At 38.1% G+C, this 23,657-nt stretch overlaps 1 protein-coding gene across 17 annotated transcripts in view, besides 3 other annotated features; it reads left to right on the top strand.

Annotated features, from left to right (window-relative positions):
* KIAA0825 overlaps positions 1–23,657 on the top strand; it is a 467,754-nt gene that overhangs the window by 253,054 nt on the left and 191,043 nt on the right. The window contains exon 21 of one of the 17 annotated variants that reach the window (NM_001385713.1): positions 9,470–9,973. The exons of the other annotated variants lie outside the window; for them this stretch is intronic. Coding sequence (NP_001372642.1) covers positions 9,470–9,536 — 67 coding nt within the window. The 3' untranslated portion in view covers positions 9,537–9,973. Of the gene's footprint in view, positions 1–9,469; positions 9,974–23,657 lie in introns of those variants that run through there. 17 annotated transcript variants of the gene reach the window in all.
* Positions 2,753–3,393: an enhancer, noted in NCBI's record as "OCT4-NANOG-H3K27ac hESC enhancer chr5:93697863-93698503 (GRCh37/hg19 assembly coordinates)". NCBI's record gives its function as "activates a minimal SCP1, AML or CMV promoter by ChIP-STARR-seq in primed H9 embryonic stem cells {active_cell/tissue: H9 hESC(primed)}" and the evidence as "EXISTENCE:reporter gene assay evidence [ECO:0000049][PMID:30033119]".
* Positions 8,564–9,195: an enhancer, noted in NCBI's record as "H3K4me1 hESC enhancer chr5:93692061-93692692 (GRCh37/hg19 assembly coordinates)". NCBI's record gives its function as "activates a minimal SCP1, AML or CMV promoter by ChIP-STARR-seq in primed H9 embryonic stem cells {active_cell/tissue: H9 hESC(primed)}" and the evidence as "EXISTENCE:reporter gene assay evidence [ECO:0000049][PMID:30033119]".
* Positions 9,830–10,461: an enhancer, noted in NCBI's record as "OCT4-NANOG-H3K27ac hESC enhancer chr5:93690795-93691426 (GRCh37/hg19 assembly coordinates)". NCBI's record gives its function as "activates a minimal SCP1, AML or CMV promoter by ChIP-STARR-seq in primed H9 embryonic stem cells {active_cell/tissue: H9 hESC(primed)}" and the evidence as "EXISTENCE:reporter gene assay evidence [ECO:0000049][PMID:30033119]".

Genomic DNA, 23,657 nt, shown 5'->3' with positions numbered 1-23,657 from the left:
CCACAAAGGGCTAGTACTTGGCATTTTTTCAATAATCTACTGTGCAACAGGACCTGTGTCCAGCTGTGGATTTTGATTTACATAGAAATCAGAACCTAGACATGGAATCACCAGTATGAAGAATTAAACTTGATGCGGGCATCTGCCTTCAGAGACTGGTATTATTTATCATTTCGTGGCCAGGATTAAGGTTCTGGTGAAGGGGCATTGTTGTCTGGGGTAAATACTCGGGGTTTGCCGTCTCACGCCAAGGGAATTGAGGACGCAAACACAAGAAGTGGGTTTAGGAGCGGAGGTTTAATAGGCAAAAGAAAGAGAAAGGAGAATAGCTCTTTCTCTTGGGAGAGAGAGCGGGGGTGCCCAAATGGGACTTCTGGCCCATGCACATCCATGCATGGAGTGCACCGGATTTACAGACAGGCTTGAGGGCCCGATTTACATAGGGCCACAGACTGGTTGGAGCAGGTGTGACGTTTACATAGCCGCCCACCCTAATCTTATTATGCAAATGGCGTCTTTGCCTGGCCATGCCATGTTGTCTTCTCTTACTGTACACGTAGTTTGGCAAAGAGATGGGAAGATGGAGCAGCCATTTTGAACACGCCTAGTCCCCAGGTAGCCCCTTTCCTATTGGCACAACTCCCGGCACCCACCCGTGCAAGCATCTCGTTTGCCTTTCTATGTCTGCAGGTCGATTTTACAGGCTGCACTTTGTTAGAAAAGAAAATGATTTGGGGGCTGCTTTTCATTAAAAGGAAAACCTTACCGAGGACTTCATTACCCTCACTATCTGACTAAATAATTTCTTCTTAACTCCTATATATTGGGAGATGAGAAATAGAATAGAGGTGACAGATTAGAAAACTGACACAACCAGAGTTGGAGAATGACCATTAATCCCAGCACTTTGGGAGGCCAAGGCAGGTGGATCACGAGGTCAGGAGATTGAGACCATCCTGGCTAACACAGTGAAACCCCGTCTCTACTAAAAATACAAAAAAATTAGCCGGGCGTGGTGTCAGGTGCCTGTAGTCCCAGCTACTCGGGAGGCTGAGGCAGGAGAATGGCGTGAACCCGGGAGGCAGAGCTTGCAGTGAGCCGAGATCGTGTCACTGCACTCCAGCCTGGGCGACAGAGCAAGACTCCATCTCAAAAAAAAAAGAAAAGAAATGAAGCATTTCCTGATATCACAAATGAGAGCTCCGTGTTAATGACTTCTACAGCCTTGCCCAGTTTCATCTCTTCTGCTTGCACTGACTGTCATCACCCCCTACTCTGCCCGTCGAAGACCCACTCAGGCCCTCCATCCCAAGCCCCTCTCCAGTTCTGTAGCTCTCAAAAACCTTCTGTCTTCCCAATTCTCGGGGCATTTATACACTACATTATATACGTTGATGTCCAGCATGAGCTACCTTGTGAAATTCACTAATGCTTTTTGGTATCTGTCTCCCTAAATAGACTGATAGCTCCTGGAGAGCAAGGATCTCGTGCTTTTCCTGCTTGTCACTTGTACTGTAAAGCACAGTGGTGAAAGCATGGGTCTGTTCTGTTCACGCTTTTGGCTGTCAGTCTAAATTTATTGTTTTGAAGTGACTTTCTTTTGCTTATAGAACTTTCTGAGGTAAAGAAAGAATCACCAAGAGAAAGAGGCGTTGTTAATTCATTTATTGAATTTTTTTTTTTAGAGATAAATCTTGCTCTGTCACCCTGGCTGGAGAGTAGTAGCTTGATCACAGCTCACTGCAGCCTCACATTCCTGGGCTAAAGTGATCCTCTAGCCTCAGCCTCCTGAATAGCTGTAACTACAGGCACGAGCCACCATGCCTGGTTAGTTTTTAAAAAAAATTTTTTTTGTAGAGATGGGTTCTTGCATCTGGCCTCAAGCAATCCTCCTGCCTCAGCCTCCCTAAGCACTGGGATTACAGGCGTAAGCTACCACACCTGGTCCCATTTATTAAAAACTTTAAAAAGCAATGTTAAATCACATATATGCTCATTAGAAGTTAAACAATGCGGATGTTGTATAAAGTAAAAGTTGCTAACCTCTTGCTCTGCCTCACCTTATAATCCCACCCACTCAAGGTAACACATCAGTCCTGTTCTTTATTTCTCATTTAAACCTTAACATTGTCCTCATTCCGGAGTTTTAAGAGAAAAAGACAGGATAAATCCTGTGATTTAGAAACATAACAGAGAAAAATAGAATATGGAAGTTTTCCATTCAATTAAAGTTTTCTAAACCCACAAAGAGATAATGCGATTTAGCTATTGACCCAGAAGCTTGCGGATCTCTTATTTTCAAATAATTGATTATTCTAGGTTAATGAATTAAACCTAATAATAGTCAGAGTCCTAAGATTAAAAAAAAAAAAAAAAGAAAACTGGTTTGGGCTGGCCAGATTTGGAAATAAGTCAGTTACCTGAATAAGGCTTTGTTGTTTACCTGTCTAACTTGCCCAGAAGGCTCTTCTCATCAGCATGATGTCTTTGCTTTGTGTATTCATCTGATTCAGCCCAGAATCAGTAATGAACAACTGCAAGTTCATTTCAGCAAGTCAGAGCTGTAAATGGCTAGAAGATAGTTACGGAATAGATAGCTTTGTATAAAGAACAATCCAGACTCTTGTTATTTTATTATACAGAGAATATATTTGCTAGCAGACAAAAGCATTATATAGCCCACAAAATACACTGTGTTGATTATAAGAATACTTCCAGCCCATTATTCAGTCCAGCAAGACTTTGAGTAAATAGATAAATCTGTGACTGTTTGTTCATTCTTCCATCCATCAAACATTCACTAGACATAGCAAATAAAGAAATCAGCCAGACACAGCCCCTGCTGTCAAGGAACTCAGAATCTAGTGGAGGAGATAGACTAAAAAATCAGTGGGTATAGCTATAATAGAGGTTCATGCAAGTTACCATATAAGTACAGTAGAAGATCACAGAGGAGGGGAAGATAAGCTGAATGCAGAGGGAGTCAGAACGTACATCTGGAGATGGGGATACCTGAGCTATGAGTCAGCCAGGTAGCCAAGGTGAGAAGTAGTCTAGACAAAGGGTTCAACTAAGTAGTAACACCACATGAGATAAAGTATGTTGCATCCACGTTATTGGCTAGAGTGATGGTTTCTTCACTGTATTTTTCACTTTTAAATCAGTTCAATTTGCAACATAAAGGCACAGTGAATGAATGTTACCCTACTTAGGACAAAGTCAGATGCCAAACTGAGTAAGGGGTGGTAGGAGTAGAAGGGGCACCTGTTCTATTTAGGCCTATCCGTGGAGAATATTGAAAGAGTTACAGATTCTTTCTTTCCAGTCCTTGGCCTCATCCGACCCTGGAGGTTTTCAGGTATGTGTAAGCAATTGCAGGACCTATGTAGTTCATAGATCAAATGGCCTTGTAGACTGTCACTAAAATTTTATTTGCCTTATATTTATACAGCTTGGATAGGATGTACCTTCATGAGGGCACTCTTGGTGCGTGATTGATGGCTCTTCAGACAAGATGTGCTAGCTTAATACTGGCCTTGGTCAAGTAAGAGAGGTGCACCTGATTTGTCTTGCTCTTAATGTCAGTGTTCTTGCAGCCTGTTCTGCACACACTGTTCTTCAGTGTGTGTAAGTTTGTCTCTGAACAGCAAGAATTACCTGAAAGCAGTAGGACTGCCTGAGAAATGGAGTGATGCTTCCAAGTCTGTGTGTTTATGTTTGTTGCTCTGAACTGGCAGGTCTGAGATGGACTCAAATTAAATTTATAGACCCCAAGGGTTTCTGAGGAAGAAACAGGAACAATTAATTGTTCATTTTCCTCTTTTAGCCTGTAATCTAACAGTGATTTTAGGACTAAAATTTGATTTCAGCAAGAGTATGTACATATAGATGCTTGTTCATAACAACTCTGAAAATGTGGATTATATGTGTGATTTTAATGCATTCGTTGGAAATAATATTATTTTTCACAAAGTAAAAGCATCCGTAATTTTGCTACAAGGAAGAATATTTGCTTCCTCTCACACATTTTATTTAATAATTTTACTTCTTTAAAAGCAAAACAGCACACAATTTGAAAATGAAATTTCCCCAAAGTGTTCAGTTTGCTAATATGTTTTTCATTTTCTTCATTATGCTATAATGGAATGTTGCCATACTTTGAAATGTGCAATTTATCTCCCTGGAGGCAGCAGATGGTGTGACTAATCTGTCTTTTGGTACAGGATTTATCATGAGAGATGGCATCTAGGACTGCACGAAATGGGAGCCCTGCCCTCAAAAAGCAGTGACTCTCTTTATCATTATAACATTTAGGTACACTTTATTATTTTTAAATATGAAAAAACTTGCAAAAATGAAAAGGTTTTAGCACTTTAAAAAAACTTCATTTTATGTAAGAAAATATTAGGTGGAAACTATTGAGTTATTTTAATTATATTTGCAAGTGTTTTCTACGCTGAATGTCTCATTGCTAGAAAACCCATTAACCTCTTGGGAAGGACATGATTTTGTTAGGATTTCCACCCTAGTCTCTGCTCTACAGCTTTGAAAGCCTAGCAATTCATTTTACATAGTAATATTGATTCACACTGTTACTGGAAGGGGATCCCGATCCAGACCCCAAGAGAGGGTTCTTGGATCTTGCATAGGAAAGAATTCAGGGTGAGTCCACAGAGTAAAGTGAAAGCAAGTTTATTAAGAAAGTAAAGTAAAGGAGTAAAAGAATAGCTAGTCCATAGGAAGAGCAGCCTCTGAGGGCTGCTGGTTCCCCATTTTCATGGTTATTTCTAGATTATATCCTAAACCAGGGGTAGATTATTCGTAAGTTTTCTGGGAAAGGGGTGGGCAATTTCCAGTACTGAACTTTTTCAGACCATATAGGGTAACTTCTGTACACTGCCATGGCATTTGTCCACTGTCACAGCACTGGTAGGAGTGTCTTTTAGCATGCTAATGCATGAGCAGTGAGGATGACCAGAGATTACTTTCATCGCCATCTTGGTTTTGATGGGTTTTGGCAGGCTTCTTTACTACAACCTGTTTTATCAGCAAGGTCTTGATGACCTGTATCTTGTGCCAACCTCCTATCTCATCCTGTGACTTAGAATGCCTAACTTACTGGGAATGCAGCCCAGCAGGTCTCAGCCTTATTTTACTCAGACCCTATTCAAGATGCAGTTGCTCTGGTTCAAACACCTCTGACAACACTAACCAAACTTGTAGAAGACTGTTAGAAAATTAGAGTTCTGTTTTACTAATTTACAGGAAAAATACAACTTCAAGTAGATCTGGTAATTCTTTCCCTCTCGGTGAATTGCCATCAGAAGCCAGGTTATGATAGTAAGTTTGGTTAGTAGGAATAGACCATCCCTGTGTGGGGCTATGCCTACCTTTAGGACCTAATTCACATGTCGTGAGTTGTGATGTCCTTGTTCCTGAACTGTCCTAAGAATTTTTTATTCTCTGGACATTTTTAGTCTCCTGCTAACTACTCCATTATATCATCTCTTAAAATAGAAGGGCTAATGAGCACTTAACTCCCAAACAGAAAATAGTTTTATATTGAGTGTAAACTCCAGGAGAATAGTGATTTTTCTGTAGCGCTGTAATCAATTAGCAATGTCTGCCACAGACAAGAAAAGAGAATGGTGGTAGCTTAAGTGACACACATTTGCTCACCCTAGTTTAAATCCCACCATTAGTATATGGAATCAAATAAGTACTCTGATTAATATTTAAGAACTGCATTCTGCATTCTTGGAAATTACTTGAGAACATGGTTTTAAAGCTGGAAGAAATCTTAATTTTCCCATTTCATGGTTTAGAAAACATTTGTTTTGAGGGACTTACTGAAGTCAGAGAGCTAATAGGTAGTTGAGCAATAATTCAAGCCCACGGTCTCTGCCTCATGGTCCAGCACACTTTCTTTCTTTTATTTATTTTATTTTTATTTTTTTAAGAGATGGAGGTCTCACTATGTTGACCAGGCTAGTCTTGAACTCCTGACCTGAAGCAATCATCCCATCTCGGCCTCCCCAAGTATTAGGATTACAGGCGTGAGCCACTGCACATGGCCTCAGCACACTTTCTTATAAACCATAGTAATAAGTCTAAGAATTACAAACACTGATCATTTCATTTTTCAACTTAATTTGAGAAATCACTTTTGGCTGGTAGGACTGAGTATTTTATTATTTTAGGTCAGCAAAATAAACATGAGGATTATTATATAAACCTATGGTACTTAGCCTTAGTTGAACATTAGAATAATTTGGGAAGAGATTTTTTAAAATGCCCAGGCCTCTTACCAACCAATTAAATCAGAATCTCTGGGGTGGGGCAACAATTGTAGTTACTTTAAAAAATTTTCCAATGTGATTAAAATTTGCAGCCAGGATTGAAATCATTTATATCACAATTTGAAAATTTGTTCAAATGATTGAACACTTTGTGAATGCTTAGTCATTGTTGACATTATTCAGGTAAGTCTTAAAATAATCAATTTTTTATCAGCCAAAATCAGTCCTTCCATAAGACATCATAGAATTACAAATTGATTAGTAAATTGCTAAATAGTTTTCATTTCATGATTCTTAGTATAGGCATGGAATATAAAACTAGAAAAATAGCAATGATTGTGATGATAATGAAGAATTATCCTTAGTTTATGCCATGATAGAATAAAGAAAAATATTTCCTTAAATAGTTTTGGTAAAATGTGTAAACATAATAATTTCAGATGAATGGAAACCTGGTGGTGAATAACTGCACCAGAATATTATGCAAGTACCCTTCCAGCTCAGGGAAATGTCTGCTGATAACAGGTTCAGTGATACATAGTTGTGTTTCATGGATCAGAAAATGGAAATTGCTGGAATGGAAACTTTTGTTTCTTTGCTACCCATTTATTCATAGTACTTAGAGTTTTGTGATTCTTTCTGCCGCTTAAATATAGCTAAACTTTGCCCCATGTATGTAGAGGAAGAGAATATTGCCCCAAATCCAAAGTAAAGAAAAACAGGTATTTATCTTTAAAATGAATTTTAGTATTTATTTGAATATTATTGATGTTTTGGAAATTCATAGTGCTTCAGAAATGAAGCCATAGTATAAAGGCCTTCAGGGCAAGAGATTACTGTCTTCCATGTTTCCTTAACTTCCCACCACTTTGCCCTATACTAGACTGTTTTAGCCACAGACCTTTGGTTTATCCTCTCTTTCAGTTCCCTGTCTCTCCCTTCCCACCTTATTCTCTAGTTTGCACTTTAAGAGGTTGGGGAGGGAATTCGTGCTTATGTTTTAAAAGACTTTTCAGTGTGTAGAGCAGGATTGGGGAAAAAGCAGTTGCAGTGCTGCCTTGCACTCAAGAAAAAGCTGTAAGAATACCGGCCAACTGAAGGCGAGGAATTTGAAACAAGACTTTAAAATGCCACAGTTTGATTAAACATTTATAGATAATAAAAACTAAATGACGATCTCGTTATGAACTAAGACCTTCCTAGTTCTGATGAAGATAGATACTGTGTATAGCAAAAGAGCTGGCATTACAGAAGTCCTCTTATGGCACATAATTCAGAATTAGCATTCTTAAAGTTGATACTACGAAATGTCATTGAGGAAAGCTTTTTTTTTTTTTTAATGTTACTCTTTGGATTGGCAGGTTATGACAAAACTACATTCATGTTACTTGAATACGTCTTTTGTCTAGTTTTACATGCTTTTTGACTTGTCTAGAAAATGACATATTGAGGTTTTCATTAGCTTTAACCAGGTGTGATTTTCTTATGGAAGTACCATGGCAGGACTGCAGTTAAGGGGAATAAACCAGTGAAGCTCAGAAAGGCCATAGCCCTTCTTCAGATGGTAGCAATGAGCTGAAAGACTCATTAATCAACCGCAGAGTCACAGGTGTGATGGCTTGCCTACAAACTGCCAACAGACTGTGAAAGTCACATCCAACAGGCTAAATTGTCAAACTAGACCCATCCATAAACATTTTAACACAGCAAAATTCCGCCTCTTTTGTCTTTAAGATGTGATTTTTAAATATTACATTTCCTCCAAACTTCTATAAAATGTTGTTTATTTTGTTTTATACAACTTGAATTTCTTGAAAAAGAACCAGATTTGGCATTGTTTTTCTTTCATAAAAATTTGTATTCATCTCTATTTTTTATTTGATTTTTTTCTTATGCTTATTTACTCTCCTTTATTCTAAAAACCTTTTCTCCTGCACTACATGAAAGGCTTGAGGATGGAATTTACCTCTGTCAAAGTTTTATCAGTTGGGGAAAAACCACTTTTAACGTGTGTTAGCTTGAGTTTTACCACTCAGAAGGATTTCATTCATAAGGAAATGTCTGTAGATGCGTTTTAACCGAAGGACTGTATTGTAATCTATTTTTTTTAACGAAAAGAAATTCTCTACTTCAAGTTACCTGTGTGGTTCTTTGTCTTTCTCTTTCTTTCGAGCTCTCTAAGGATTCAACATTGTTGTATGTTTATTTTTTTAAAATTTGGTACATCACAGCTGGGCGCAGTGGCTCACGCCTGTAATCCCAGCACTTTGGGAGGCCGAGGCTGGTGGATCACGAGGTCAGGAGATTGAGACCATACTGGCCAACGTGGTGAAACCCTGTCTGTACTGAAAATACAAAAATTAGCTGGGTGTGGTGGTGCGCACCTGTAGTCCCAGCTACTCGGGAGGCTGATGCAGGAGAATCTCTTGAACCCGGGAGGCGGAGGTTGCAGTGAGCCAAGATCACACCATTGTACTCCAGCGTGGGCGACAGAGCGAGACTCCGTCTCAAAAAAAAAAAAAAAAAGAAATCAAGTTAAACCTTAAGTTTGATGTGTATTTTTGTCTGGAGTCCCATGACAAAATGAAATTTTCAAATGAATATGTAGTTCATGTGTTTTTTTTGTCTTTTTGTTTTTTTTGAGACAGAGTCTGGCTCTGTTGCCCAGGCTGGAGTCCGGTGGCGCAATCTCGGCTCACTGCAAGTCCGCCTCCCGGGTGCACGCCATTCTCCTGCCTCAGCCTCCCGAGTAGCTGGGACTACAGGCGCCCGCGACCACACCAGGCTAATTTTTTTTTTTGTATTTTTAGTAGAGACGGGGTTTCACCATGTTAGCCAGGAGGGTCTCGATCTCCTGACCTCGTGATCCGCCCACTTCGGCCTCCCAAAGTGCTGGGATTACAGGCATGAGCCACCGCTCCCGGCTGTAGTTCATGTTTTAAGGATGATTTCAGTGAAATAGTAAAATATATGTGTAACTCCTGCAGTAACTTGTAGTTTTGCTTTTTGCACAACTGGAAGCTAATACCTAAGACCAAATGATTTATATATTTTCTAAGTGAAGGTTCATCTTATTAATTTTTAAAACATTGAATAAGTACATTGGTGCTCATCAAGCAGAGGAAATAGAATTAAGCATGATGCAATGATAAATTATTTGGGTTTTCTAGGACCTTGCCCCTCAGAGCTTCTTCCATTGGAAAGGCAGAATCTTGGGCCCCACCCAAGACCTACTGAATGAAAATCTGCTTCCCAACCAGATACTCAAGTGATTCATGTGCATATTAAGGTTTGAGAAGCACTGAGTTAAAGTGAGTTGGACAATTCTTTTCTCTTACTAGTTTTCACCTACTATTTAAATCTCATCCCAGCAAATACCATTATAATGAAAGTTCAGTTTTAACAAACATACCTAAACCATATTTCTCTAAATAAGCAATATCAAATACAATGAACACCAACTTGACAATAGTATTAAAACACCCTAATAAAATTGTTTGAGATGAGATTTGATCTCTTAAATGCAACTAAGTGAACCTTAAATACAAGGTCAATGATATTGTACCAAATCATCTATTTAGTAAGTCTACATGTATGACCCTAGTATAAGAAAAGACAGAGTGTACAAAAAATTGTAAGGCATAATCTTTTAATAAAAAAACTTACAAATCATATTTTTGAGGACTAAGCTCTGATTTTTTTATTTTGCTCAAATTCCTATCTAACGGGTCTGGGGAATCATGGCCTGCAAACCATAAATTCTCATCAGATGGGTTTTATTTAACTCTATATATCGTGACTTACTTTCCAATCTCACTCAGCATAACATTACATGACAAAGAAGAAAATAAAAATATTTTACCCCCAAACATGTTTCTTTGCTGTATTTTGAAAAGGTCCTGCAAAGCCGTCCTTTGTGGGGGAAAATTTGCATCTGTAAAGAACCTCTATTAACATAGCTAGATCTTTTTCTTCCAGGCCCTCCCAATCCTGAAGAGATTAACTGAGAGCCTAGCACCTCTTAAAGGTCTGAATAGGAAACATTTGTCATCCATTGTCTCTAAGGGCAGCCACTATGAGACATCAAAAGAACCTTGGCCTCCACAATTTTTTATCTTAATGTGAACATTTCCTTTCTATTAATCCCAGGTCTTAGACAAACTCAAACAATTGTCAACCAGAAAATATTTAAATTTACCTATAGCGTGGAAGCCTGCCTCCATGCCCCCCTTCGAATTGTCCCACCCTTCTGGACCAAACCAATGTATTTCTCACATGTATTCGATTGATGTCTCATGCCTCCCTAAAATATATAAAAACAAGCTGCACCCCAACCACCTTGGGCACATGTTCCCAGGACCTCCTGAGGGCTGTGTCATGGGCCATGGTCACTTCTATTTGGCTCAGAATAAATCTCTTCAAATATTTTACAGAGTTTGACTCTTTTCGTTGAGATTTTTATACACTGTAAGACAGTTTGATTATGAAGCTCTAAAATTCTTCCATGGCCTCAATTTATTTTTCATATTTTAAGATTGAAAAAGACAGAAACATTCTTCAAAATAGCAGGACTTGACAATGTCCCTTATGAAGTTTATTACCTGAATTAAATGTTTTCCTTCGTAGGCTATTCTGATTACAGCGTAAGCTAAATAAAATATGTCATGTTTTCTTATTTTTTTTCAAGTTATTTCTCTGTCCCTTGGAAAAAATACAAATAAATATTTAGACTAAATAGACTCTGGAACATCAAAAAGGAGATAGAAATGACAATTTATACCCTTAAGGAAGTAGTCATACCTTAATTCACATTCCTTGTCAATCTCTGTTTTGCCAAAATACTATTAAATTATATATAATAAATTTCATAAAATATTCTGATTACTAATCCATATTAACCTTAAATTCATATTGAAACACTACTTTAAGGAAATGTTGGAGAGAGGATGGGAGGTTATGACAAGAAATTAATAGGAAGTTTATCTGTGGCCCACTTAATGGTAGCTAAATAAAATTGAGCAAACTCTGATATTTCTACAATGTTGTATATGGCCAATGTTCTCCTGGGAATTCTTGGTAGGAAAGTATCAAGCCGATTTACTCTAGTTGTGTACTTGCACGGAGAAAGCCCTCAATAACTACTTATGTTGATTTGAAAACAGTTGAAAGATCAGTAGCAATACAGAAATTTAATAGAAAGGGAATGGGAAGAATGAACATTGTACACTGAGAATTTGCTGTATTACTAAAAATTATATCACATCTGCAATTCTTACTTAACTGACTATATTTGATGGAGAACAGTAAAAATACTATGTAATAGATTACAAAGTAAATAATAATATAATGATAAAGGTTAAAACATATATATTTGGAATTTTGCATTTACATATGATATTCTATGCTCATATTAATCTCAAGACATTTGATTATCGTATCCTCATCGGTGTCCCTGCCCCCGACCCTTTTGCTGTACATCAGTGCATAACTTTTAGCAACTATTCTCCTGTGGTCAAAGACTAGAAAGAGCTATCATTTCATGGCCTCATTTCACGTAGAATATATAACAGAATTATCAGCTTCATTTTGATGGAAATGTATATAAGAAGATATTGTCATTGAAATCATCAAAAAATATGCCTTGAAGTGAATCTAATGGCCATTTATTTTTTATCTATACTGTTAGTGGTAAATAATTTTCAGTTATGCTTTTAACTTAGTAATTATATACCCCCCAAAATAATATGGAAATGTTCCCTTTAATTGTCATAATAAAAACTCTGAGACCTGCATTTAAATACATCTAGACTCTTTCCAGTAAAGTGTTAATGAAATTAACAGTAAAAAGGTATCATGAATTCTACTGGGATAATTACATGGGTAATTTAACAGTAGATTTGGATAAAACTGGAAGCATTTGTATGATACCCAGTAAAACCTCTGTAAATGGTATGTAGAAAATTGAAGACTTCATATTGTCTTTTGGATACAAAGAGAATCTTTTAAAATGTTAAGTAGAAGTAGTTGTTAAAAGGTAAATTTTTGCTTTCATTATTCTAATAAATAGTTTTTTTAAAAAAAGTAGCTAATTGTTGTTTCCTGGCTTTATTGTCCTTTTGAACTTTTATCTTTTTGACAATGTTTCCTGTAAGATTTTTATTTATTTTATTTTTATTTTTCCATAAGTTATTGGGGTACAGGTGTATTTGGTTACATGAGTAAGTTCTTTAGCAGTGATTTGTGAGATTTTGGTGCACGCATCACCCAAGCAGTATGCACTGCACCATATTTGTAGTCTTGTAGCCCTCACCCCCCTCCCACTCTTCCCCCCAAGTCCCCAAAGTCCATTGCATCATTCTTATGCCTTCGCATCCTCATAGCTTAGCTCCCACATATCAGGGAGAACATACCATGTTTGGTTTTCTATTCCTGAGTTACTTCACTTAGAATAATAGTCTCCAATCTCATCCAGGTCACTGCAAATGCTGTTAATTCATTCCTTTTTATGGCTGCATAGTATTTCATCGTATGTATATATGTATACTACAGTTTCTTTATCCACTCATTGATTGATGGGCATTTGGGTTGGCTCCATGATTTTGCAATTGTGAATTGTGCGGCTATAAACATGCGTGTGCAAGTGTCTTTTTCGAATAATGACTTTTTTCCCTCTGGGTAGATATACAGTAGTGGGATTGCTGGATCAAATGGTAGTCCTACTTTTAGTTCTTTAAGGAATCTCCACACTGTTTTCCATAGTAGCTGTACTAGTTTACATTCCCACCAGCAGTGTAGAAGTGTTCCCTGTTCACTGCATCCATGCCAGCATCTACTGTTTTTTGATTTTTTTATTATAGTCATTCTTGCAGGAGTGAGGTGGAATCACATTGTGGTTTTGATTTGTATTTCCCTGATCATTAGTGATGCTGAGCATTTTCTCATATGTTTGTTGGCCATTTGTAGATCTTCTTTTGAGGATTGTCTGTTTATGTCCTTAGCCCGCTTTTTGATGGGATTGTTTGTTTTGTTCTTGCTGATTTGTTTGAGTTCTTTGTAAATTCTGGATATGAGTCCTTTGTCAGATGTATAGATTGTGAAGATTTCCTCCCACTCTGTGGGTTGTCTGTTTGCTGTTTCTTTTGCCATGCAAAAGCTCTTTAGTTTAATTAAGTCCCAGCTATTTATCTTTGTTTTTATTGCATTTGCTTTTGGGTTCTTGATCATGAAATCCTTGCCTAAGCCAGTGTCCAGAAGGGTTTTTTCCAATGTTATCTTCTAGAATTTTTATAGTCTCAGATCTTAGGTTTATGTGCTTAATCCATCTTGAGTTGATTTTTGTATAAGGTGAGAGATGAGAATCCAGTTTCATTCTCCTACATGTGGCTAGCCAATTATCCCAGCACCATTTATTGAAAAGGGTGTCCTTTCCCCACTTCATATTTTTGTTTGCTTTGTCGAAAATCAGTTGGCTTTATTTCTGGGTTATTTATTCTGTTCCATTGGGCTATGTGCCTATTTTTGTACCAGTACCATGCTGTTTTGATGACTATGGCCTTCTAGTATAGTTTGAAATCAGGTAGTGTGATGCCTCCAGATTAGTTCTTTTTGGTTAGTTTTGCTTTGGCTATGCAGGCTCTTTTAGGGTTCCATATGAATTTTAGAATTGTTTTTTCTAATTCTGTGAAGAATGATGGTGGTATTTTGATGTGGATTGCATTGAATTTGGAGATTTCTTTTGGCAGTATAGTCACTTTCACAAAATTGATTCTACCCATCTATGAGCATGGGATGTGTTTCCATTTGTTCATGTCATCTATTATTTCTTTCAGCAGTGTTTCGTAGTTTTCCTTGTAGAGGTCTTTCAACTCCCTGGTTAGGTGTATTCCTAAGTGGTGTTTTTTGTTGTTGTTGTTGTTGTTTTTTCAGCTATTGTAAAAGTGGTTGAGTTGTTGATCTGATTCTCCACTTGGTCACTGCTGGTGTATAGAAGAGCTACTAATTTGTGTACATTAATCTTGTATCCAGAAACTTTGCTGAACTCTTTTATCAGCTCTAGGAGCTTTCTGGAGGAGTCCTTAGGGTTTTCAAGGTAAATAATCCTATCATCAGCAAACTGATGTGACTGTTTGACCTCCTCTTAACCAATTTGGATGCCCTTTATTTCTTTCTCTTGTCTGGATTGCTCTGGCTAGGACTTCCAGTACTACATTGAAGAGGAGTGGTAAGAGTGGGCATCCTTCAGGAGGCTGAGGCAGGAGAATCACTTGAATCTGGGAGGCAGAGGTTGCAGTGAGCCAGGATCATGCCATTGCACTCCAGCGTGGGCAACAAGAGCGAGACTCCATCTCCAAAAAAAAAAAAAAAAGAGTGGACATCCTTGTCTTGTTCCAGTTCTCAGAGGGAATGCTTTCTACTTTTCCCCATTCAGTATTATGTTGGCTGTGGGTTTGTCATAGATGGCTTTTATTACATTAAGGTATGTCCCTTGTATGCTGATTTTGCTGAGAGTTTTAATCGTAAAAGATGCTGGATTTTGTCAAATGCTGTTTCTGCATCTATTAAGATGATCATATGATTACTGTTTTTAATTCTGTTTATGTTGTGTCACATTTATCGACTTGTGTATGTTAAACCATCCCTGCATCCCTGGTATGAAACCCACTTGATCATGGTGGATTATCTTTTTGATATGTTGTTGGATTCGGTTAGCTAATATTTTGTTAAAGATTTTAGCATCCATGTTCATCAAGGATATCAGTCTGTAGTTTTCTTTTTTGGTTATGTCCTTTCCTGGTTTCAGTATTAGGGTGATGCTGGCTTCATAGAATGAATCAGGGAGGGTTCCTTCTTCCCCTATCTTGTGGAATAGTGTCAAAAGGATTGGTACCAATTCTTCTTTGAATATCTGATAGAATTCTGCTGTGAATCTGTCTGGTCCTAGACTTTTTTTTGTTGATAATTTTTAAATTACTATTTCAATCTCGCTGCTCGTTATCGGTCTGTTCAGAGTATCTCATTCTTCCTGATTTAAGCTAGGAGGGTTGTATTTTTTCCAGGAATTTATCCATCTCTTCTAGGTTTCCTAGTTTATGTGCATAAAGGTGTTCATAGTAGCCTTGAATGATCTTTTGTATTTCAGTGGTGTCAGTTGTAATATCTCCTGTTTCGTTTCTTAGTGAGGTTATTTGGATTTTCTCTCTTCTTTTCTTGGTTAATCTTGCCAGTGGTCTATCTATTTTATTTATCTTTTCAAAGAACCAGCTTTTTGTTTCATTATCTTTTGTATTTCTTTGTTCCAGTTTCATTTAGTTCTGCTCTGATCTTGGTTATTTCCTTTTTCTGCTGGGTTTGGGTTTGGTTTGTTCTTGTTTCTCTAGTTCCTTGAGGTGTGACCTTGGAGTGTCAGTTTTTACTCTTTCAGTCTTTTTGATGTAGGCGTTTAGGGCTACGAACTTTCCTCTTAGCACTGCCTTTGCTATAGCCTAGAGGTTTTGATAGGTTATGTCATTATTGTCATTCAGTTCGAAGAATTTTAAAATTTCCATCTTGATTTTGTTTTTGACCCAGTGCTCATTCAGGAGCAGGTTATTTAATTTCCGTGTATTTGCATGGTTTTGAAGTTTCCTTTTGGAGTTGATTTCCAGTTTTATTCCACTGTGGTCTAAGAGAGTACTTGATATGATTTCAATTTTCTTAAATTTATTGAGGCTCGTTTTATGGCTTATCATATGGTCTATCTTGGAGAAAGTTCCATGTACTGTTGAATAGAATGTGTATTATGTGGTTGCTGGATGAAATATTCTGTATATATCTGTTAAGTCCATTTGTTCCAAGGTATTGTTTCTTTGTTGACTTTCCGTCTTGATGACCTGTCCAGTGCTGTCAGTGCAGTACTGAAGTCCCTCACTGTTTTTGTGTTGCTGTCTATCTCATTTCTTAGGTCCATTAGTAATTGTTTTATAAATTTGGGAGCTATGGTGTTAGGTGCATATATATTTAGGATTGTGATATTTTCCTGTTGGACAAGGCCTTTTACCATTACATAATGTCCCTTTTTGTCTCTTTTAACTGCTGCTGCTTTAAAGTTTGTTTTGTTTGATATAAGAATAGCCACCCCTGCTTGCTTTTGGTGTCCATTTGCATGAAATGCCTTTTTCCACCCATTTAAGTTTATGTGAGTCCTTATGTGCTAGGTGAGTCTCCTAAAGACAGCAGATAGTTGGTTGGTGAGTTCTTATCCATTCTGCAGTTCTGTGTCTTTTAAATGGAGCATTTAGGTCATTTACATTCAATGTTAGTGTTGAAATGTGAGGTACCATTGCATTCCTCATGCTCTATGTTGCCTGTGTACTTCGGATTTTATTTTTGCTTTTTAACTTGTATTTTTGTTTTATAGGTCCTGTGTGATTTAAGCTTTAAAAAGGTTCTGTTTTGATGTGTTTCCAGGATTTGTTTCAAGATTTAGAGCTCCTTTTAGCAGTTCTTCTAGTGGTGGCTTGGTAATGGCAAATTCTGTCAGCATTTGTTCTCTGAAAAAGTGCTTTAACTCCTGCTGCTTTAAAGTTTGTTTTGTTTGATATAGGAATAGCTACCCCTGGTCACTTTTGGTGTCCATTTGCATGAAATGCCTTTTTTCACCCATTTTCTTTAAGTTTCTGTGAGTCCTATGTGCTAGGTGAGTCTCCTTTCCTTCCTGTATGATGCTTAGTTTTGCTGGATACAAAATTCTTGGCTGAGAATTGTTTTGTTTGAGGAGGCTGAAGATAGGGCCCCAGTCCCTTCTAGCTTGCAGGGTTTCTGCTGAGAAATCTGCTATTAATCGGATAGGTTTTTCCTTTAAAGGTTACCTAGTGCTTCCGTATCATAGCTCTTAAGATTCTTTCCTTCCTCTTAACTTTGGATAACCTGATGACAGTGTACCTAGGTGAAGATCTATTGGTGATGAATTTCCAGGGTGTTCTTTGTGCTTCTTGTATTTGGATGTCTAGGTTTCTCACAAGGTCAGGGAAGTTTTCCTTAATTATTTCCCGAAATACGTTTTCCAAACTTTTAGAATTCTCTTCTTCCTCAGGAACACTGATTATTCTTAGGTTTGGTCATTTAACATAATCCCAGATTTATTGGAGGCTTTGTTCATATTTTCTTATTCTTTTTTCTTTGTCTTTGTTGGATTGGGTTAATTTCAAGACCTTGTCTTCGAGCTCTGAATTTCTTTCTTCTACTTCTTTAATTCTATTGCTGAGACTTTCCAGAGCATTTTGCATTTCTAAACATATGTCCAACCTTTCCTGAATTTTTGATTGTTTTGTCTTTAAGCTATCAATTTTCTTGAATATTTCTCACTTCATTTCTTGTATCATATTTTGGATTTCCTTGCACTGGGCTTTGCCTTTCTTTGGTCCCTCCCTGATTAGCTTAATAACTAATCTCCTGAATTCTTTTTCAGGTAAATCAAGGATTTCTTCTTGGTTTGGATCCATTGCTGGTGAACTAGTGTGATTTTTGGGAGTTGTTGAACAGCCTTGTTTTGTCATATTACCAGAGTTGGTTTTCTCATTTGGATAGGCTCTTTTAGAGGGAAGGTCTAGGGCTGAAGGATGTTGTTCAGTTTCTTTGGTCCCACAGGGTATTCCCTTGATGTAGTACTCTCTCCCTTTTCCTATGGATGTGGCTTCCTGTGAGCCAAACTGCAGTGATTGTTGTCTCTCTTCTGAGTCTAGCCACCCAGCGAGTCTTCCCAGCACCAAGCTGTACTGGGGGTTGACTGCACAGAGTCCTGTGATGTGAACTGTCTATGGGTCTCTCAGCTGTGGATACCAGTGCCTGTTCCGGTGGAAGTGGCAGGGGGTGCAATGAACTCCGTGAGGGTTTTTAGCTTTGGTGATTTAATGTTCTATTTTTGTACTGGTCGGCATCCTGCCAGGAGGTGGCACTTTCCAGAGAGCATCAGCTGTGGTATTACGGGGAGGAACCAGCAGTGGGCGGAGCCCTAGAACTCCCGATTATATGCCCTTTTCTGCTACTAGGGTGGGTAGGGAAGGACCATCATGTGGGGGCAGGGCCAAGTGTGTCTGAGCTGAGACTCTTCTTAGGTGGGTCTTACCGAGGCTGCTGTGGGAATGAAAGTGAGATTCCCAGGTCACTGGAGTTGTATACCTAGGAAGATTATGGCTGCCTCTGCCAAGTCATGCAGGTTGTCAGGGAAGTGGGGAAAAGCTGGCAATCACAGGCCTCACCCAGCTCCCAAATAAACTGAAGGGCCAGTCTCACTCCCATCATGACCCGACAACAGCCCCCAGACCTTTTCCAGGCAGAGTCATACAGGCTTGAAAACCTGCCCCAGGCTATCTGCCTCCAAGTTGTGGAAAAAAAAGGGCTTGGTTCGTCCCCCACCTGTGGAGTACGCACGCTGGATTTGTGCCCTCCCCCAAGTTCTGGCCAGGAGACTTCTTGCCCTGTTCAAACTGTTACGAAGTTCAGCTAGAGATTTGCTTCTCCCTGTATAATTTTAATCCCTGCTTCTCTCCCGTTGGATCCCTGTGGTGCCAGGCAGGAATGGCCCGCTAGGGGACCCAACAAGCTCCCAGGGCCTTTCTGCTGCTTCGTCTACCCCTGTATTTCGCTCGGCTCTCCAAATAGACTCAGCTCCAGGTAAAGTCGCAAACTTCTCCCACAAGCAGACCTTCAGTTTCTCCAGTGGCGGTGTGTGTTTGGGAGGGGAGGGTCTTCTTTTCCTACTTCTGCAGTTGGGGCACTCACAGTTTTGGGGATGTCTCCTGGGTCCTGCAGGAGCAGTCTGCTTCCTTTGGAGGGTCTGTGAATCCTCTCGGGATTGCTGGTTTGTTCTTGCAGTCGATCTGGAAAATCATTATCTTAAAATTCTGTGCTTTTAATATATAGTACTTAATATAATTTTATACCCCACAACAAAGTTATAAATCCATTCTGCTTGTTATCTAATTTGATCAATTAACATAAGAAAATAAACTATAACTTCCCTCAAATGACTTAATTTGGGGCAGTACTTTGTAGCTGGTTTCCACTCAGGAATATTCTTGACTATTGAATGATAGTAAGGGAGGAGACCACCCCTCATATTGTCTTATCCCAATTTCTGCCTCCAAAGAAAGAAGAAGTAAAAACTAAAAGGCAGAAATGAAATCCACAGGCAGACAGCCCGGTGCCACACCCTGGGCCTGGTATTTAAAGATCGACCCCTGACTAATCAGTTATGTTATCTATAGATTACAGACATTGTATGGAAAAGCATTGTGAAAATCCCTGCCCTGTTCTGTTCTGTTCTAATTACCGGTGCATGCAGCCCCCAGTCACGTACCCCCTGCTTGCTCAATGATCACAACCCTCTCATGTGGACCCCCTTAGAGGTGTAAGCCCTTAAGAGGGACAGGAATTGCTCACTCGGAGAGCTCGGTTTTTGGAGACATGAGTCTTGTCGAAGCTCCCGGCTGAATAAAGCCCTTCCTTCTTTAACTTGGTGTCTGAGGGGTTTTGTCTGCAGCTTGTCCTGCTACAATAGCAGATTAAAAAAATCTGAAGAAATTTATTTTCTAAAGGGAAGAAAATAGAACCTAATATGTTTAGAGCTTTTGTTATTCATCTGATAATATGCTGTATATTTATCCATAAACTTTTAATCCTGAAAATTATTCTATAAAACATTTGTCATATTCTCAATTATAAAGATGAGAAAATAGTTTCAAAGAAAGAATTTTCAGTGTCACACACTTTACACATAGCCAAGTTGAGATTCAAGTCTAAGGCTGACAGTTGACTCCAAAGCCACAAGCCCACATCCTTTTCAATACAGACTGCTTGCAAAATACAAGTTGTAATGACATGTGACATGGATATTTTTCTTTCTAGGAACATGTATGTTCCTAGGAACATAACATATATGTTATTTTTAAAGATTTTATTGTGAAGTATATCAAGCAGTAGTGACACAAAACTTAAATGTGAAGCTTTATAAAGTATCATAAGGCAAACGTTCATTTAAACACCACTGATAACCTATGCCCAGGAATAGAATATTGCCAGCACCCTTGAAGTTCCCCACCCTCACCACGCTCTTTCTGAACACCATCCTCTTCTTTCTCCTATAAGATTACTACTATCTTTACTTCTAACATTATAGTCCAGACTTTTTTTTTTATGGTAACGTATACATAAAATGTACCATTTAACCATTTTAAACTGTATAGTTCAGCAGCATTAAGTATATTCACATTGTTGTATAATCACTACCACCATCCATCTTCAGAATTTTTCATCTTTTCAAACTGAAACTGTACCCATTATCAATAACTCCCATTCCTCTCTTCTCCCAGCCCCTAGCAACCACCATGCTATTTTCCGTCACTGAATTTGACCACTCTAGGTACCCCATGTAAGTGGAATCATACAATATTAATCCTTCTGTGACTGGGCATATTTCTTTCAGCATGATATCTTCAAGGTACATCCATGTTGTAGCACCTGCCAGGGTTTCCTTCCTTTTAAAGGCCAAACAATATTGCATTGTATGTATGTACCATATTTGTTTATCTAGTTATCTATCAATGTACAACTTGTACAACTTTGGTTGCTTCTACCTTTGGTCTATTATGAAGAATATTGCCATGAACATGGATGAACAAATAGCTGTTTCAGTCCTTGCTCTCAGTCGTTTGGGTTATATACCTAGAAACAAAATTGCTGGATTATATGCTTAATTTTTTGAAGAACTGCCATATTGTTTTCCATAGCAGCTGTACTATTTTACATTATCATTAGCAGTGCACAAGTGTTCTAACTTATCCAGATCCTTGCCAACAATTGTTATTTTTGTGTTTTCATTGTAGATTTGTTCTTTTTGAAAACTTTACATACATGAAATAATGCATATTTTCTTCTTATTCTGGCTTTTTTTTGCTCAGTTTGCGAGATTCTTGCATGCAGTTGAATATAGATGAAGCTGTATATTTTTTATTACTGTGTAGTATTCCATGTATGACAACATCAATTTATTACCTACTCCACTGTTGATGAATATTTGGATTGTTCTAGTTCTTAGTTATTATGAATAATGCTGGGAACATTGATATACATGAACCTTGGGGTATGTGTGAGCAATTTGTTTTTATATACCTAGAAGTAGAATTTCTGGATCACAGGGTAGGCATATGTTCAACATTAGATTGTGCCAAGCTATTTTCCAAAGTTGTTTTACTAGTTTACATTTCCGCCAGAAATTTGTAGAGTTCTCACTGCATCATATCCTTCCTAGTGCAAATGTGCTTTTCACCATTCTAATAATTACTGATGATGTGGAACATTTTTGTTTTTACATATTTATTGAGCATTTGGATAGTCTCTTTCATAAAATGTCTTTAAGCCTCCTGCCTATTTTTTCTATGGATTCTTTTGTCTTTATTGATTTGCATGCAAAAATATTGATAAGATGGATGGAAGGGTAGATAGATAGAGGGATACAAACTTTTTGTTGCAAATGTCTTCTATTTCTTGGCTTGCCTTTTCACTTTCTTTTTTTGTTTTTGTTTTTGGAGATGCAGTCTTGCTCTGTTGCCCAGGCTAGAGTGCAGTGGCACCATCTCGGCTCACTGCAAGCTCTGCTTCCCGGGTTCACGCCATTCTCCTGCCTCAGCCTCCCCAGTAGCTGGGACTACAGGCGCCCGCCACTAGGCCCGGCTAATTTTTTGTGTTTTTAGTAGAGACTGGGTTTCACTGTGTTAGCCAGATGGTCTCTACCTCCTGACCTCATGATCCACCCACCTCTGCCTCCCAAAGTGCTGGGATTACAGGTGTGAGCCACCACACCTGGCCTCCTTTTCACCTTCTTAATGATGTCTTTGGTAAATAGAAGATTTTAATGTCAATGTAGTAAAGATTTATAAGACAACCTTCCTTTATGGATGATGGTTCTTCTGCCCTTTTAAATAAACCTTTCCCTACCCCAAAGTCATGAAGATATTTTAAATTAGCTGTCAACATATTCAAAAAAAGGTGGAAGGCTGCTGAGAATTTCAGTGAATTTACATTATATGTATAGATGAATTTGTAGATAATTGATACCTTCATAAGATATCAATTGATCTTGGCTTGGTCTTCCAAGCTATGAACATTGTATTTCCTCCATGGGTCTTTAATTTTTCTTACTGTTCTCTTGTTTTCTGCAAAGGTATGTTGTCCATCTTGTATTAGAATTTATTTTTAAGTATTTGATATACTCAATGCTATTATAAATGTTATATATTTATAAGCTTTTGTTTTCTCTTTTTTGGTACACAGAAATGAAGAGATTATTGATACTGAGTCTTTGCTCAACTCACTTATTCTAGTAATTTTACTAGAACATTTTTTGACATCTACTCAAATCATTTAATTGAAAAAATATCTTAATGCATTCATTTTTAATTATTAGCACATTTTTAATATGATTTTTTTCTTACTTTATTGCCTTGGTTAACAGCTTTAATATAGTATTAAATTGACATGGTGGTCATAATGAGCATCCTTCTGTCATCCTAATCTCAAAGAAGAAAGCCTACTTGAAATTCTTCCTTAATTTCTATAAATAATGAAACATCAGGGTAAACTTTTGGACAATTTTTGTTTTATAACTTCAACTCATTAACAATGATATGGTATATGGAGAGATTACATTTTATCTAAAACTACCCTCAGTTCTTACTTATCAAAGCCTCTGTGTCACTGACTTTTCTAAAAATCAAAATCCTTAAAATTGAATCCTCTGAATTTTAGACATCTCACCTGATATTTTGATACTGACTTCCAAATTTATATATGTGACATTATTCCTTTCATTTTACAACAACTGTTTAAAAATGTGGTTTGGTGTATATTCTGCAGTAACCTCACAAATTCTTGTTAATTAATTTAACAGTATGTTATTTGAAGAAAAAGATACACTTGACTGTTTCAATATATTTTACTAGCTGTATCTCTATTACTAAAAAAATTTTTTTTAGTGAGACAATTTTGGTGCAAATCCTTCAGGTTGTTCTTTTTTTTTTTTGAGACGGAGTCTGGCTCTGTCACCCAGGCTGGAGTGCAGTGGTGCGGTCTCGGCACACTGCAAGCTCCGCCTCCCAGGTTCATGCCATTCTCCTGCCTCAGCCTCCCAAGTAGCTGGGACTACAGGCGCCTGCCACCACGCCCGGCTAACTTCTTTTTGTATTTTTAGTAGAGACGGGGTTTCACCACGTTGGCCAGGATGGTCTCGATCTCCTGACCTCATGACCCGCCTGCCTTGGCCTCCCAAAGTGCTGGGATTACAGACATGAGCCACCGCGTCTGGCCGAGATTGCTCTTAATCTG

The sequence above is a fragment of the Homo sapiens genome, chromosome 5, assembly GCF_000001405.40.
Source record: "Homo sapiens chromosome 5, GRCh38.p14 Primary Assembly".
Taxonomy (NCBI): domain Eukaryota; kingdom Metazoa; phylum Chordata; class Mammalia; order Primates; family Hominidae; genus Homo; species Homo sapiens.
This window is presented reverse-complemented; position numbering and strand designations above follow the sequence as displayed.